Source organism: Homo sapiens, chromosome 1 (genome assembly GCF_000001405.40).
Source record: "Homo sapiens chromosome 1, GRCh38.p14 Primary Assembly".
Taxonomy (NCBI): Eukaryota; Metazoa; Chordata; class Mammalia; order Primates; family Hominidae; genus Homo; species Homo sapiens.
In genome coordinates, this window is record NC_000001.11 from 113,663,901 (window position 1) to 113,681,939 (window position 18,039).

The 18,039-nt window shown below is 38.5% G+C and overlaps 1 protein-coding gene across 5 annotated transcripts in view, besides 2 other annotated features; it reads left to right on the forward strand.

The window, feature by feature from the left end:
* MAGI3 (membrane associated guanylate kinase, WW and PDZ domain containing 3) overlaps positions 1-18,039 on the forward strand; it is a 295,409-nt gene that overhangs the window by 273,386 nt on the left and 3,984 nt on the right. For 4 of the 5 annotated variants that reach the window (XM_017000974.2, NM_152900.3, XM_005270737.4 and 1 more), the window contains exons 17-20: positions 7,834-7,936; positions 8,715-8,841; positions 9,422-9,565; positions 17,298-17,436. In XM_017000974.2, the coding sequence (XP_016856463.1) occupies positions 7,834-7,936; positions 8,715-8,841; positions 9,422-9,565; positions 17,298-17,436 (513 nt within the window). Of the gene's footprint in view, positions 1-7,833; positions 7,937-8,714; positions 8,842-9,421; positions 9,566-17,297; positions 17,437-18,039 lie in introns of those variants that run through there. The other variant, XM_047417371.1, reaches the window with a different exon arrangement.
* Positions 13,427-13,721: an enhancer, noted in NCBI's record as "tiled region #12988; K562 Activating DNase matched - State 8:EnhW". NCBI's record gives its function as "activates a minimal TATA promoter and a strong SV40 promoter by Sharpr-MPRA in K562 cells {active_cell/tissue: K562}" and the evidence as "EXISTENCE:reporter gene assay evidence [ECO:0000049][PMID:27701403]".
* Positions 16,985-17,523: an enhancer, noted in NCBI's record as "NANOG hESC enhancer chr1:114223507-114224045 (GRCh37/hg19 assembly coordinates)". NCBI's record gives its function as "activates a minimal SCP1, AML or CMV promoter by ChIP-STARR-seq in naive H9 embryonic stem cells {active_cell/tissue: H9 hESC(naive)}" and the evidence as "EXISTENCE:reporter gene assay evidence [ECO:0000049][PMID:30033119]".

An 18,039-nucleotide genomic window follows, 5' to 3' on the forward strand; every position in this document is an offset into this window, starting at 1 on the left:
GTATGAAATGGTATTTCATTGTGGTTTTGATTGGCATTTTGCTGATGAGTAATGATGTTGAACATCTTTTTCATGTGCTTATTGACTATTTGTAAATCTTCTTTACATAGAGAAATGTCTATTTAAATCCTTTGCCATTTATAACTCAGTTATTTGTCTTTTTTATTGTTGAATTGTTTTCTGAATACTAGACCTTTATCAGATACATGGTTTGCAAGTATTTTTCTCCCATTCTCCATTTGTCTTTTTACTTTCTTGATACTATCCTTTGATGCACAAAGTTTTAATGCTGAAGAAATCTAATTCCTCTATTTACAGGGGCGGTGCTTGTGCTTTGGTATCATAGCATCATATGCTTTTAAGATTTATCTGCATTGCTGGGTGACCATAATTGATTGCTTTTAACTGCTTGACCGTTTTCCATGAGTATTTACCACAAATAACCTGTCCACTTCCCTATAGACAGTCACATTGCCTACAACACTACAGTATTACAAACAATTCTATAATACACATCTTCACATATCTATGTTACAAAACAGTGTGAGAAGCCAGGCATTGGTGGCACATGCTTGTAGTCCCAGCTACACAGGAGGATCACTTCAGCCCAGAAGTTTAGGCCAGCCTAGATAACATAGCAAGACCTTATCTCTTAAAAAAATAAAAAAACAGTGTGAGAATTTCTGGGAGTGAAATTACTTGATCAGAGGGTATACATGTATTTGATTTAATATTGTCAGATTGTTGCATCCATCTACTCCCACCAGCAAAACATTGAGGATTCTGATACTGTACTTCCCCACCAGTACTTTGTATTATCAGCTTTTGAATTTGCTAGCCTAAAGCATGAAGGTGTTGTCTTATTATTTAATTTGCATTTCTCTGATTGCCCATGAATTTCAGCATCTCTTCATATGCTTGAGTTTTTTTCTTGTGGGATTTCTGTGTTGTTGATATTTATTGGATACTCATGAATTATATGGACTTCAGTAGTACAGTTTTGTTTTAGAGACTATAAATATCTATCTTTTTCTGCCATCTGTATGTTCTTTGACCATGGTACCCTTTATTATACAGAAATTCTTAATTTAGATGTAATCAAATTTGTCACTTTTTACCTACAGCTTAAACTCTTGAGGTTTTATTTAAGATAAGTCATTTTTTCCCCACATCACAGAGATTTTTCTTTTATATGATCTAATACCAGATTTGTAATTTTGATTTTTGTACTTAGGTCTTTAATCCATCTGGAGCCTACCTTTGTATGTAGTTTTAGGAGGGATGTAGTTTTATTTTTTATTCTTAAGATGAGCCAGATTTCCCAACACCAGCTATTAGACAGCACTTCTTTGCCTTATTTATTTGTGATGCCATCTCTCCTATATATCAACTTCCCCTTTAAACATGAGTCTCCAAGTCCTCTATTCTGTTCTATTAGTTTATTTGTTCTTGGGCTGATGATATGTGTGTGTGTGTATTTTTTATTTTTTTATCTGTAAGTTTGTGATACATCCTAATATATCTGCTTATTAGGGAAAACCTATCTGTCTCCCTGTTTCTCAAAATTGACTACATATTCATGGAACTTTTCTATATAAAATTTTAGAACAAATTATTAAGCTCCTCCAAAAAAAATCAAAGTGCAGTTTTTTGGGGATATATTGTGTATACGCGTATATAAATATATATGTGTGTATGTATATATATTTTGGGGGTGGAGAATATCTTTACATATTAAGTCATCTCACCAAAGATCATGGACTGTATTTCCAATTATTCAGCTCATCTTTTATGTCCTTTAATAGAGTTTTAGAGTTCTAGTATGTTCTCTCATAGGGTTCTTATTTACTCTTGGTAAGGTGAGTCTCAATAGATTATAATGTTTATTGCTGTAGTTTAACTGTGGATTTTGTTTTTATCTTTTGAAAATACACTTTCTTTTAAGTGTATTATTATAGGCATACCTTGGAGATACTGCAGGTTCAGTTATAGGCCACTGCCATTAGGTAGTGAATATTGCAATAAAGTGAATCACATGAACTTTTTGGTTTTCTAGTGCATATAGAAGTTATATTTACACTATACTGTAGTCTCTTAAGTGTGCAATAGCAGTATGTCTTAAAAAACAATATACATACCTTAATGAAAGTATACTTTATTGCTAAGAAATGCTAATGATCATCTGGGCCTTTAGTAAGTCTTAATCTTTATGCTGATGGAGGGTCTTGCCTCGATGTTGATGGTTGCTGACTGATTTGGGTGGTAGTTACTGAAGGTTGAGGTGGCTGTAGCAATTTCTTAAAATAAGACAATAAAGTCTGCCACATTGACTCTTTCTTTCACCAAAGATCTCTCTGTAGCATGTGATGCTGTTTGATAGCATTTTACCCACAGTAAAACTTCTTTCAAAATTGGACTTTGTCCTCTCAAACTTTGCCTCTACTTTATCAACTAAGGTTATGTACTATTCTAAATCCTTTGTGGTCATTTCAACAGTGTTCACAGCATCTTCACCAGGAGTAGATTCCATCTCAAGAAGCCACTTCTTTGCTCATCCGTAGGAAGCAAATCCTCACCTGTTCAAGTTTTGTCATGAGATTACAGCAATTCAGTCCCAACTTCAGGCTCTACTTCTAATTCTGTTCCTTGCTGTTTCTACCACATCTGCAGTTACTTCCTCCACTGAAGTCTTGAACCTCTCAAAGTCATCCATGGGAACTAGAATCAAATTATTCCAAATTCCCGTTAATGTTGATATTTTTGACCTCTTCCCCATGAATCACGAATGTTCTTAATGTCGTCTAGAAACCTTTCCAGGTTTTCAGTTTGCTTTGCCTAGACCCGTAGAAAAATCACTATCTGTGGCAGCTATAGACTTACCAAATATATTTCTTAAAATACTAAGACTTGAAAGTCAAAATTACTCCTTGATCCATGGGCTACAGAATGGATGTTGTATTGGAACTCATGAAAACAACATTTATCTCCTTGTATTTCTCCATCAGAGCTCTTGAGTGACTAGGTGCTTTGTCAGTAAGCAGTAATATTTTGAAAGGAATCTTTTTTTCTGAGCAGTAGGTCTCAACAGTGGGATTAAATTATTCAGTAAATCATGCTGTAAACAGATGTGCTGTCATCCAGGCTTTATTGTTCCATTTTTAGAGCATAGGCAGAGTAGATTTAGCATAATTCTTAAGGGCCCTAAGATTTTTGGAGTGTAAATGAGCACATGAATTTACCAGCTGCATTAGCCCCTAGCAAGAGAGTCAGCTGCCTTTGAAGCTTTGAAGCCAGGCATTGACTTCTCCTTTCTAGCTATGAAAGTCCTAGATGGCATCTTCTTCTAATAAGAGGCTGTTTTGTCTACCTTGAAAATCTGTTGTTTAGTGTAGCCACCTTCACCAATGATATTAGTTGAATCTTCTGGAAAAGTTGCTGCAGCTTCTGTATCAGCACTTGCTGCTTCACCTTGCAGTTTTATATTATAGAGATGACTTCTTTCCTTAAACCTCATGAACCAGCTTCTTCTAGCTTCACACTTTTCTTCTGCAGCTTCCTCAGCTCTCAGAATGGAAGAAAGTTAGGGCCTTGCTCTGGATTAGGCTTTGGCTTATGGAAATACTGTGGCTGGTTTGATCTTCTATCCAGACCACTAAAACTTTCTCCATATCCAGCAATAAGGCTGTTTCATTTTCTTGTCACTCATTTGTTCACTGGAGTAATATTTACAATTTTCTTCAAGAACTTTTCTTTTGCATTCACAACTTGGCTAACTGGTACAAGAGGTCTAGCTTTCAGCCTGTCTCAGGTCTCAACAAGCCTTCCTCACTAAGCTTAATCAAGTCTAGCTTTTGACGTAAAGTGAGAGATATGCAACTCTTTCTTTCACTTGAATACATAGAGGTCATTGTAGGGTTATTAATTGGCATGATCAATATTGTGCATCTCAGGGAATAGAGGGGCCTGAGGAGAGGGAGAAAGATGGGGAAAGGCTAGTTGATGGAGCCAGCACACACATATTTATCGATTATGTTTGCCATTTTATATGGGTGTGATTTGTGGCACCCAAAAACAATTAGAGACAAGTAACTTGAAATTGACATACCCAGTAAGCAAAGGTGGAAGACCTGGGAATTTCCAGTGGGTACAAGAATATAAATATCAAAGATCACTGACCACAGATCACCATAACAGATATAATAATAATGAAAAAGTTAGAAATTTTGGAAGAATTACCAAAATGTGACACAGAGACATGAAAGTGAGCACATGCTGTTGGAAAAATGGCACTAATAGACTCGCCCAATGCAGGGTTGCCATAAACCTTCAATTTATAAAAAATGCAATAAAATGAAGTGTACTAAAATAAGGCATACCTATACTTACAGACAGAAAGCCCAGCAAAAATGTAATTCTCATCGAAGGAGAGATATACTTAACCCATTGCTTTACTATTTTAAGAATTTTCAAATAAAATTCAGAGAGAAGATAGGCCTGTTTGACATTATGGAATAAATATTTGACTTTGTGAAGTAAAATAGCTTATAACAGAAAAAAAATGGAGAAGCCATGTAGCACGGGTTGAAGGACTAAAAATGAAAAGAATCCCAGTGATAGGAAGTTTTACTTAAATTTGATGAAGACAACAAAACAACAAAAAACATGTAACTTTTTTTTTTTTTTTTTTTTTTTTGAGACGGAGTCTCGCTCTGTCGCCCAGGCCGGACTGCGGACTGCAGTGGCGCAATCTCGGCTCACTGCAAGCTCCGCTTCCCGGGTTCACGCCATTCTCCTGCCTCAGCCTCCCGAGTAGCTGGGACTACAGGCGCCCGCCACCGCGCCCGGCTAATTTTTTGTATTTTTAGTAGAGACGGGGTTTCACCTTGTTAGCCAGGATGGTCTCGATCTCCTGACCTCATGATCCACCCGCCTCAGCCTCCCAAAGTGCTGGGATTACAGGCGTGAGCCACCGCGCCCGGCCAAAAACATGTAACTTTAAAAGTAAGCACCAATTTGTGGTACATTTTGCCTGGAACTGAAATGTCTCATCTGGAATGGAAGGTAGAGGAAAACTTGAAATTGATCAGATTACTTCTATTGTCCTGCTCTGATGTTATACACTCATTACAATAGCCAAGCTAGTAACGCCGATAAATTATCTCTCTTGACCACATGCAAAGGTACAAGTATCTCCCAGTCATCTCATTGGCAAATGGAATTTTCCCCATCATTTTCCATCTCCTTAATAGTAACCATGAATTTACAGCGACCGAAGACAATCGAACTCTATACTGGGCAGTAAAGTTTAGAGACAGGTAACTTGAAATTGACATACCCAGGAAGCAAATGTGGAAGAACTTATGGAAATTTCTAGTGAGTACAGGAATATCGAGATAACTGAGATGTGATTCTTGCAATCAAGGAGTTCAGAGTCTAGTAGGAGAGACAGGTGTTCTGCCAGCTCTGACACAATGTGGGAAATGCTGTGAGAACATTGTGATCACAGTGTGCTTAAGGTGCCAGGTAGGATTTCACAGAGGAGGTGACAATTTGAACATGAGGTGAAATGGAAAGCCAGGAGTGCCCAGGTAACAAGTATCTTATGAGCAAGAAAACGTCACCATAGGTTGTTTTTGTTTGTTAGTTTGAGATAGAGTCTTGCTCTGTCGCCCAGGCTGGAGTGCAGTGGCATGATCTTGGCTCATTGCAACCTCCACCTCCTGGGTTCAAACGATTCTCCTGCCTCAGCCTCCCAAGTAGCTGGGACTACAGGCACATGCCACCACACCCAACTAATTTTTGTATTTTTAGTAGAGACGGGGTTTCACCATGTTGGCCAGGCTGGTCTTGAACTCCTGACCTCAGGTGATCCGCCTGCCTTGGCTTCCTGAAGTGCTGGGATTACAGGCATGAGCCACCGCGCCCAGCCCACCATAGGTTTTTTACACAAGGCAGTGGCATGTTTCAACTTATGTGTTAAAACTGGAGTCTAAGGTGGCAAAGAGAGCAGTTAGGAGGTCAGTATAAGCAGCTTGTTAAAGTTACTCAAGAAAAATAAAATTCATGATAGCAATATAAAAGAGCAACAAATTTCCAGGTCTCCAAAAAAAAAAAAAAAAAAAAAAGTTCATAGCCCACTCTACTCCCACCCTCCCTTCCTGGAATACTTGACCTTAAAGAGGAAACACAACCCTCTGGGTAAGTTCTGGTCCAGAGGTTGGTTCTGCATCTCCAGGTCTAGTACACATTGTTAAATCCATGTTCACACCCAAGCCCAGCAGCCAGAGGGCGTAGAAATCCTCAGGGGCCACCTGGCTTGGCCATATACCATTTCTTCCTCCTGCCACTTTGTACTCTCTGGCCTGTGTTTTTAGAGTACTCTCTAGCTTCTAGATACAAGAAACTTTTCAATAAAAATAAGCAATTTATCTGTGTTTTTAGTCTCACAGCACTTTGGAAAGTAACAACTTAACCCAAGCAATAAAATAGTGATGCATGTATTGTAGTAAAGCCTGAAGTTTCAGCTTTCTCAATGGAAACTGCTTCTTAATTATCTCTTATCTTTAACATGAGATTTTCACTATTGTATTCTAAGATTCAGGTTATATCAGCTTCCACATGTTTTTCTAACTTAAAGTACCCTCTACATTTAACATTTTTATAAAGCAAGGTAAAGATTTCAGCATATATGTTTAAAGAGAAATGCAACCCCAAGTGAGAGATATCATTTTGATGATGATGATGATGATGATGAAAATGATGATAGTTATAATAGAAACTGTTATATTGTGACTATTATATGCCAGGCACTATTCTAAGCATGTATATTTATAAGCTCCTTTGATACTATAACCCAGTGAGATAACTGTATTTCCCCTTTTATAGGCAAGACAATTCAAAGCACAGAGAACATAACAGATTTTCTCAAGAACACACAGCTAGTAAATGATGCAATCAGGCTTAAACCCTGTCCATCTTGCTCAGAGTTCATGGTCTTAATCATTAAGCTGTGCTCCCTCTGATACTTTAAATATCCTATGCTTTTATATTTAAACATAATAAAATGTTCAAAAGTTTCAACTTCAAAAATATGAGTCTGCCAGCCTTAGGCATCTTGTTTAATTGTCGCCTCCTTGCCATCTAGTTCTAGGTGCAGGCAGTCACTATGCTTAGCTATGAAAGCTACCTTCGAGGAACAGCAGGGAGTCCAGAGCTGTTGGGAATGATACAAAACAAATGTAATGTTTTTCACCTATATTTGTGTTCTGAGAAAATGGAAGCAGTAGAATATTTATAAATATTTGTTAGCACTCAGGATTCTATAAGTTTGTCTTTGGTTCTCAGTGGCAGGCAAAATAACTGCTCCTATATTGAAGATGCAGGTTCAAAGGTGTGAGTGTGGTTTGCAGACTGGCCTCCGTGTTCCAGCATTCCTGAGACCCGGCTTTGTTATCTAGAATGGGTTACCAATTATTAGGTGTGTGCTCTGGAAGCCCATAGAATAGGCAACAGTATAGTTCCTGGAGCTCTGTCTTCTAGATAAATATTATGTTCATTTCTGAATTTTATGTTATATGGATGACTAAAACACAGGTGAAAATGGGGACATAATATGATTCCTGTTCTCCTGAGACATAAACGTTAATCAAAAGCCACAGGGAAAAAGATGTTAATGCGCCAGTTCCAGACAGCTGACAATAGTGCTGTTCATGCTAAAGCCACTAAAGTCAGTACAGCAATAGCCATCTGTTATTGTCTCACCTTCACAGATCCGCTTGGCCTTCACATTTTTATGTACAAATTCTTATTTCTATTGTTTTCTCATTTGAACAGAGCATCATGGTCCACCATCAGGAACAAACTCAGCCAGGCAAAGCCCAGCCCTGCAGCACAGGCCCATGGGACAGTCACAGGCCAACCACATACCTGGGGACAGGTGGGGCTATTTTCAGGTTTTTGTTTTTGTTTTTTTCTTATTCTCTCCTTATTGCTCTGCTGTTCATAACCCCACTCCCCATCATCCACCCCCATGCAGTAATGCAGATGCCAGCTGTTGAGGTCAAAATGACAACTCTTGCCTGTTCCTCAAATACCGTCCCCATCACCTCCACCCATTCAGTACCTTCGTCCCTCTTCCAGCCTCCATCCCAGGCACAGCATAATTATCCAATCTTGCCTGACATGCGAGGATTAGAAAGAAATGACATAGCATCTGGCTCTGCTACTCTTGGTCCTCATAGTTTTCATAGGGAAGCTGCAGACCCATATGGATTGCTGTCTTATCAGACCACCTGAGCAGAGCAGGTTTTGTGTGTATTTCTGTCTTCTTTCATTGAAAATATTAGCCTAGATTTCCAGAAATCCAGCATCTTCACGGGCATTGGTGCTGCAGGAGAGCCATTTTTCACTGTGACAGGGTCAGCTTAACTGCCCTCTGGTGTAGTTATTTGATTGCAGTTTTCTTTGATATAAACTGCTCTGAGATGTCCTTAAAAAAATTGTGGATGTTGACAGACTTCAAAGTATGTTGGAATTAATGACCAGGTTTCTCCTAGCACCCCTCTGATCTGATTTTAGATATAGTCTGTCTTCATAGTGGTTTGTCAGAGGGAAAATGGCAAGGTCGAGCTTTTAAAAGAAAAGAAATTAATCTGCCTTTAGACTGTTTTTCATTTTCTCAGTTCAGAGAGTGACTTGATTTCTCTCTCTTGTAGAAGTGCCCTAGAAGGTGAAATTGGAAAAGATGTCTCCACTTCTTACAGACATTCTTGGTCAGACCACAAGCACCTTGCACAGCCTGACACCGCAGTAATTTCAGTTGTAGGCAGTCGGCACAATCAGGTAAACAAACATTTCCCCAGATGGGGAGTGATATTTTGAGTTGCCATACCACTGGCATTGGTGAATTTTTATTGCAAATCAGTTCAGATAAATTTGTTTCCAAAACTAATAATTCTCGAAGACCTGCCATGTGTTTGGCATTCTGCTGGCATTCATAGGAGAATGTTAGGAGTGAAAGAAAAGTTTCCCCTACAGCAGGAGAGCTTTGAACCCTTGGTTAAGTACTTAGAAGTAAATAGTATTTTAGATAATCAAATTCAGGTTTTTTTGTTTGTTACTTGTTTGTTTCCAGGAAAATTAGTCAAACGCTACTTAAAGGAAGCACTTTCCAAAATTCTGTTCTCTGATTGTTGCATTGCACATTGACCAACTAGAAAAGACATGTAACCTTCAGATTAATTTAGGCTGCATTTATAAAAATTAAGTAGCCCTTTAACCAAAACCTACATTCCTTCTTTACAATATAGAAATGCACATTGAGAGTATAAATCATTTCTTCCAGCTATAGAAGTAATCTTTCTTCAAAATGTAAGTAAACAGTCCATGAGAACTTGCTTTTCTTATACTTCTTTCTCTCTAGAACCTTGGTTGTTATCCAGTAGAGCTGGAGAGAGGCCCCCGGGGCTTTGGATTCAGCCTCCGAGGGGGGAAGGAGTACAACATGGGGCTGTTCATCCTTCGTCTTGCTGAAGATGGTCCTGCCATCAAAGATGGCAGAATTCATGTGAGTTGGTTTCTGTCTGTAACCTTAGGTTCAGGCTCTAGACTAGAAACTTCGAAAGATATTAATAATTGATTTAAAGGGAATGCAGGAACCTCCTAAATCTAAAAAGCAGGATTTGTCATCACTGGTAGCTAAAAAAGGCAAATGCTTGTCATTTTGCTTTTCTAACGCCCTGATGATTTCATTTCTTCTCTTCAGTGTGCTAAACCATATTGCAGTTATGCCACTTTTGCCTTCTTGACCTTGGTCAATAAGAAAATTCATTTCTTATTCACATAGTCAACATCTGAGGGTAAACGAATTAATAAATACACTTTTCATCTTAATAAGAGTCTTGAGAAAGCGAGGATCAAATAGAATCTTTAACTTTTTCCAGGAGGCAATAGGCCCAGGATTTTTTTTCCCCACTCTTAGCTACCGGGAGAGGTAACTAGAGGCTGAAAAGCGTGGCTCTCAACATTTCTTATTGTTTGAAGGCCTAGAATTCACATCAGTAGTATTCCATCATAGATGTTCTCAACTCTGAAACACTGTGACTTCGTATAGGGAACTGCAGACCAAATTGTTTATAGATCTGCATAAGATAGTTTTTCCTTCTTCTCTGGATGTTAATTAAAGAGGAATCTTATATAGAAGACATTTGCTGCTGGGCGCGGTGGCTCACGCCTGTAATCCCAGCACTTTGGGAGGCCGAGGTGGGCAGATCGCCTGAGGTCGGGAGTTCGAGACCAGCCTGACCAACATGGAGAAACCCCGTCTGTACTAAAAATACAAAAATTAGCCGGGCCTGGTGGTGCATGCCTGTAATCCCAGCTACTTGGGAGGCTGAGGCAGGAGAATCACTTGAACCTGGGAGGCAGAGGTCGGAGTGTGCCGAGATCACACCATTGCACTCTAGTCTGGGCAACAAGAGCAAAACTCCATTTAAAAAAAAAAAAAAAAAGACATTTGCTGTCTTCAATTTAAAAAAAAAAAAAACTTAACTCACTGGCATTCAGTTAGGTGATACATTAAAAACTTTTAATTTCTAGACACCGTTCCCCCTACTACTCAAAAGAATTTTGGATTTCCTTTCCCTGCCACCAGTAGGCATCAGAGAAAAGGAACTTTTTTTTTTTAATTTTAAACTAAGTAATTCAATTAGAAAGGCAAATGATCCTGGTAATTATTAGATGGTATATTCTAGTAATTATTAGAAAAGGTGCTTCTGGGTGATTGCAGTTTTGAATTTTTCATTTCACTCCCATTAGTCATTTCATAAACACATATTGAGTGTTTGCATTACCCAAAGCTTTATGCATGCTACTGAATGAGTTGGGAGAGTGACTCAAAACAAATAAGATATTATCCTCCCTCAAAATGACCAGACACATGCACAAGTTCAAAGGGATGAATAGAGAAGATTTCACAGAATAGGTGGCATTGACAGGTGCATAGGATTTCAATAGGGAGAAATTAAGGAGAGAAAACATTCCAGGCTGAATAAATGAGCAATGGCGTAAAACTAAGGAAGTATAAGTCATGTACAGGGAACTTCAAATGGTTGAGTTTACTTAGATTTTATTTAGAAAATGCGTAGATGAATAGAGGAAATGAGAATATAAAAGCCGATGGGTCGCAGGCATAAAGGTCCTAGGCAGTGGGAAGCCATGGGAGGCTTTTTAGCCAGGAGTTTCCCCTCAGAGCAATCTGCTGATAAAAATCTGTTAGTGGTGTGCAGGAAGGATGAAGGGACTCCAGGTAGCTGTAATTTATGCATACAGTGGTAGTGGTGGGAGTATAACTTGAATGGTAACGCTTTGGATGGAAGATAAGAGATGCATATAAGTTCAAATTTCAGTGAATAAAGGACCAGACTAGATGAACAACAAGTATCCTTTAAATGAGGGATGAAGGAAAAGGAAGAGTAAAGGATGACTCAGAAGCCTTGCCCCATCTGTACTACGAAAACCATCAGGGAAGCCAAGGGGAGAAAGGATATGGCAAAGACTGATGGTGTAGTAAGTTGGAGTCATGTTGAGGTGAAGGGAACAGCTAGTAGAGCAGGTGTAAATGTTTAGCAGGCAATTACTACTAGTAGTGGTAGAAGCCCAGATTGCGACATTACTGAGAAGTGATGATTGAAACCTTTGTGGTAGATAAGATCACTAAGGAAGAATATTTAGAGAGTACTTAGCCAAGGGCAGAGCTCTGAGCAAGGCATGTAATTAGTGGACTAGATAAAATAAAGAAAATGGGAAGGCGCAGCATGCAGAGCCACAGAGCCAAAGCTGCAGAGTGTTTATGACAAAGAGGGACCGATGGCCTTAATACAGCTCGTCAAGAACTGCTGAATCTACTTTCTTATAGAGACAATTTCATATCGTGACAAGAACATGGGTTTGGAAATCAGACAGGACATTCTCCTGAGTTTCCTCATCTGCAAAATGCAGAACCATATGTAATATACATGGTCCAAGTAAACTTCTTAAAGTCTTAATAAGAGCATCTTGAGACACTGTTTACAGAGGATGGCATATTTATTCCTGGTTTTCTTGGTCCTTTCCCCTCCCCTCCCCTCCTATCTTCTCTTCTCTCTCTCTCTCTCATCTCTCTCTCTCTCTGTCTCTCTCTCACACACACAACCTATTCAGTTACTTTACATCTGTGTTTCAATGCTTCTATTGTAAATAGTGTCACAAAAATCCAATTAAATGATAAATTAGGATATAATTGTTTTAAATGTTGGTTCCAAATATAACCCTCAGATCCACTAATCTCAGTAAACCAAAGGCAAACAGGCCTTAAAGCAAAGTCTAGTTCTAAACATGTCATTCTCAGCCAGGAGTGGTGGCACATGCTTGTAATCCCAGCTACTTGGGAGGCTGAGGTGGGAGGGTTACTTGAGCCCAGGAGTTCAAGACCAGTCTGGGCAACACAGCAAAACATCCTCAGTTAAAAAACGACAACATGACATGCTTTATGAATGAGCAGAAACTTTAGAATCTAATGATGAAATCAGCTTTTATTTCAAGAATAAACTCTGAAAACAAAAGCAAATGAGCAATTAACTGTTAGACCCCAGTGTGCTCTAACCTGTAAGAAAATGTCAGCTTTTCAGAGAAGTCACTTTTTGGGCTATTAAATTATCAAAATCTTGACTTGATACAGCTCATGAGGGCTTTGCATATAACTAGTGCTCAATAAAATGTTATTGATGACAACTTTCTCTGGTGGCCGCTGTCCAAATGATAAGAGTTTATCTCTAGCTGACACTCGCACCACGGAGCCACCTGAGTGCCCCTCTCTGCCTCCCCCGCTTGCCTCTCCTCTTCTCCCTTTATTAGGTTGACAGCTGTACTTTGTGTCCTATACCTATTATTCCGTATCTCCAGCACCTGATATGGTGCCTTGAATATTCATATCAGGTGCTCCATAGATATTTGTTGAAAGAGTAAAATGTATGGATAATAATTCTAGATACTGAGAGAATTATTGTGTGTGTGTGTTTTTATTTTTAAGATCAGTTCCCAGGACTTATTACTGGGTGAACAGGACTGGGGATATATGAAGTAATTAGCAACAATCTTAGTGTCATTAAGAAAACAAGAAATGTTAATTTGTAACATAGATGGAAGGATATTGAGAATCATTGAGAGGTTCTTCCTTTCGGTCTGGTTAAGATTTAGAGAGGAGAGAGAAAAAAAGTGTTCTGGGATAAGGAACTGAGAAATAGCTGAATGGAAAAGGTTCATATTAGGGAATAGTGTCAAACTTAAATATTTAACGTAGAACATAATCAGATTTAGAAAATATTAAGTGTTTGCTGTCTTTGAGGCAACATGTATTTTCCTACACAACATGCGTTTTTACTTATATTAGTCTCAAAAACTCTGAGATAGGTGACATTATCCCCACTTACAGATTTAAAACTGAGGCTCAAGGAGACTTAGTCACTTGCAGAGATCACTCATCCTGTGCAGGCCACAGTGTGACCCAGGTATGACCCTAGTCCGTCGTCCTCGAAGATCGGTTCATGTGCTTTCCGCTATGTCAGGTCTTGGCTTGAGTCCAGTTTGGATTGGATTTCATTGATAGGCAGACAGTTTCTTAACAGGTTGTGAGATAATATAAGCCATGTGGTAGAAATATTTTGTCATTTTAATACATTTGTAGTGGATGTTGTTTTTAAAACGACAAGACTGCCTATAAAAAAATAGTGATTTGTTTAAAAAAGGGAACATTCTTTTTCCCTATTCTTCCTACTTCTTTTCTTTTGGTTCTCCTATTTTTTTTCCTTTCTCTTTTCTTTCCTCTCTCTTCTCTGTCCCCATAATTATTTTTCAATAATACAAAACTGAACTTGAATCTTTGTTCTATTTATCAAAAGATGTTTTCTCCAAATTATTTTTTATCACATTTTTAAAGTGACTTAAAATGTTAAAAGGATGTTTACTGGGTGAATTTACTCCTCTGAATTTCCCTCTCAGAAGAGTCTTTTTCATCTGTAGTTTTGTGTATGTAGGTCTCTGCAGAATTTCTCCCACTCTGAGGGCCTGTCTACCATAAATCTTAAAGCAATGGCTCCCCCTCCTTCCCCTCATTCAGTTTTAAAGTTAAACAGAAATGACACCTGGTGGCAAGTCTGTTCAATTACAAGTTTTTGTTGTTTTTTTTTTTTGCAGTTTATTGCAGGAAAAGAATAAAAAGTGTTCTGGGTTGGAGAGCTTAAGCTAAAGAATGTGATTGAAATAAATTATAACCTCAAACCTGTTTTACAAGATATGCCCAAAGCAGTGTCCAAATACTATCTACTTTAATTTTCTTTATCAGCAAGATTATATATCTAGTGCTAATTTCTTACCTACATTGCCTCATGAAAATGATTCTTCTTCCATCATTTATCAAGGGAAATCTAAGTATTGGCTTTTGTTTCACTTATATATTCTGGATAGTAAGGGGTTTCTAAATTATTCTCCATCCTGCTGTCTTACTTTGGTTTTATTAAGGTGTTTTCATCTTACATATTAAATCCATCAATCTTGTTTCTGATATTGTCCATTTGTTCAAGAGTAAGCCTCCCTTGTTTAAAATAAGTATGCAATAAGACCTTTAGTCTATTTCATAGTTGACTTGAATTTTTTTGCATTGTATAGAATGGAGTGCAGTCTACAGTTAAATCTTCGTAATGATACACTTTAAAATAGCTTGAAAACTAATATTTGCACTTGGTATATAATCATGTTTTATCTTAAGTCCTCCCAGAATCCCACGAAATAGGTACTAATATTATCCTCATTTAACAGATGAAAAAAATGAGACCACAACACTAGAAAGAGGTGGAGCACAAGATGTGAACCACAGCCTCCTGACCGCCTGTGCCATGCTGTATCTGTAGAAAGAGTTGGCCCACTGACCTTTGTTAAATATTGAGTCCTTCTGTTTTGTTACTTCTGGATTGGCTTATTATTATTTCTATTCTTTAGTCACCTTGCAGCTAGCTTCAACTCAAAGGAACTTCTGGATTGTTTTAGTAAGCTCTTACAAATATTTGAGTATTTGCTTTTTGGAATTTCAGTAATATGCCATTGTCTAATTTTTCTGTTTTGAAGCCAGTATCCTTCATTTTACATGTCACCTTGAAATATATTTTTTCAACTTTTTTTTAATAAGTTCAGTGCGGCACATGTACAGGTTTGTTACACAGGTATATTGCATGATTCTGAGGCTTAGAATATGAATGAGTTCCCATCTCCCAGGTAGTGGGCATAGTACCCAATAGGCAGTTTTTTAGCCCTTGACCCTCTCCTTCCCTCCCCCCATCTTGTATTCCCGTGTCTGTTGTTCTCATCTTTGTGTCCATGTGTACTCAGTGTTTAGCTCCCAATTACAATTGAGAACATGAGGTATTTGGTTTTCTGTTTCTGCGTTAGTTTGCTTAGGATAATGATGGCCTCCAGCTCCATCCATGTTGCTGTAAGGGGACATGATTTCGCTCTTTTTATGGCTGCATAGTATTCTATGGTGTGTATATACCACATTTTCTTTATCCAATGCAGCATTCATCAACATGTGTTTGCTTGAAATAGATTTAAAATCAGTACCATCATTATGTTTAATTAGGTCTGTTCCAAAGTTATACTTGACTTTTACATATTTTCCCTTTTTCTTTTAAAATAACTCAGACATTTCTAGTAAATCACAATGGTACTAAGGTATATCTTATTCTGATCCCTAGTTTTATGTTTATTTTCCTGAAAAATGATTTTTTTTTTTTTTTGAGACGGAGTTTCGCTCGCTGCCCAGACTGGAGTGCAGTGGTGCAATCTCGGCTCATTGCAACCTCCACCTCCCAGGTTCAAGTAATTCTCTTGCCTCAGCCTCCCAAGTAGCTGGGATTACAGGCATGCGCCACCACACCTGGCCAATTTTGTATTTTTAGTAGAGACCGGGTTTCTCCATGTTGGTCAGGCTGGTCTCGAACTCCCGACCTCAGGTGATCCACCAGCCTCAGCCTCCCAGAGAGCTGGGATTACAGGTGTGAGCCACCATCCCTGGCCCTGAGAAATGATTTTACACTAACATCACTAAGTTTATGCCAGTTACTGGTTTTAAATAAGTGTTCATATTAATCTATTCTCCAAGTTTAAGTTTTTAAGAATTTTAATCTATAAAGATGTCATTTATTCAAATACCTCATGTATGTACAGGACATAGCAGCAGTTCAAAGGAATGAGCAGTTCTCCCTGGAGGCCAGGAAAGGCTTCAAAGATAAGAGCCCTCTGCCCAGGTTTTAGGAGATATATTTAAAATTCAGCTCAAGTTTGAAAGTACCCTTCACATTCGGACATAGCTCTGTAGTATCATTTGGATTGTTGTTTGTAAAATGTCTAACATGTACCCAGTGCTCTCCTGCGAGAGTTGATAAGAGGACAGATGGCAGCAACAGGAAGAGACAATGTCCAGGTTTACTCACGCATAAAAACCCTACACAGCAAGTGCCCAGGTTTACTTATGAAAATCCTACACAGGGCCGGGCGCGGTGGCTCACGCCTGTAATCCCAGCACTTTAGGAGGCTGAGGCGGGCGGATCACGAGGTCAGGAGATCGAGACCATCCTGGCTAACACGGTGAAACCCCATCTCTACTAAAAATACAAAAAATTAGCCGGGCGTGGTGGCGGGCGCCTGTAGTCCCAACTACTCGGGAGGCTGAGGTAGTAGAATGGCGTGAACCCAGGAGGCGGAGCTTGCAGTGAGCCGAGGTCTCGCCACTGCACTCCAGCCTGGGCGACAGAGCAAGACTCCGTCTCAAAAAGCAAAACAAAACAAACAAACAAAAAATCCTACACAGGAAAGTTTTATATGGCTATTAAAGATCTGGGCATCTTCAAATCAAGAACCAAATTCTAGAATTTGATTAACATTCTAAATTTGATTTCTATAAATTTAGAAAATTCCAAATCTGATTCTAGAATTTGATTCTTGATTTCAAGATGTCCAGATCTTAGTTAGTAGCCATATAAAACTTTCCTGTGTAGGATTTTTGTGAGTAAACCTGAACATTGCCACTTCCTGTTGTTTGTTGTCATCTGTCCTCTCATCAACTCTCACATGGCAGTACTGGGTACACGTTAGGTATTTTACAAACGAAAGAATCACTTAGCAAGGTTGAATGGCTCAAGAGCTGACAAAAGCAGAATTTACAAAGGATGCATAGTTTCATGTTGTTCCTGTGAATGTTCTCTGTCTAGGTTGGTGACCAGATTGTTGAAATCAATGGGGAACCTACACAAGGAATCACACATACTCGAGCAATTGAGCTCATTCAGGCTGGTGGAAATAAAGTTCTTCTTCTTTTGAGGCCAGGAACTGGCTTGATACCTGACCATGGTAAGTAAAGTAGCCCACTAGTAGCTGAAAAGTTGTATATTAGGGAGGGGACAGAAGAAAAAGGAATATATATTTGGAGAGGATAGATATTTTACTAGTTAATTCAGAGGTGAATGCTAGAACCATGAAAAGCTAGTTACATAGCAGAGTTATCATAAATAGTATTAGAAAACAAGTGACTTAGGCAGGACTTTCGTTGGAATGGAATGTATTTTAAATTTAATCAGAAAAAACATATAGTTGTTTTTGTAGAGAAATGTACCTATTAAAAAAGTGTATTAGAGGCAAACAATTTAAATACCATAAAAAATGTTTTAAATCTCTTCAAAATATCCCAGCTTTTTCTCTTACTTAGCTAATTACACATTACCAACCAATATTTTTATTTCTGTAAAGCAAGATAAGTTTATATTATAATGAATGCGCAGCATGAAAACTTAGGCTTTTCTGGTGACTCGGCAAAAACAAGTTGCTATCACCCTACCTGGAGACAGGGAGTTGGACCTGAGACCATTTCTGTCCTGTATTAATGTTAAACTTCCTGGGTTTCCATGGCATGTTTTGAAATATCATGGTATTTGAAAGTCACTGTTTTTTGAGTGC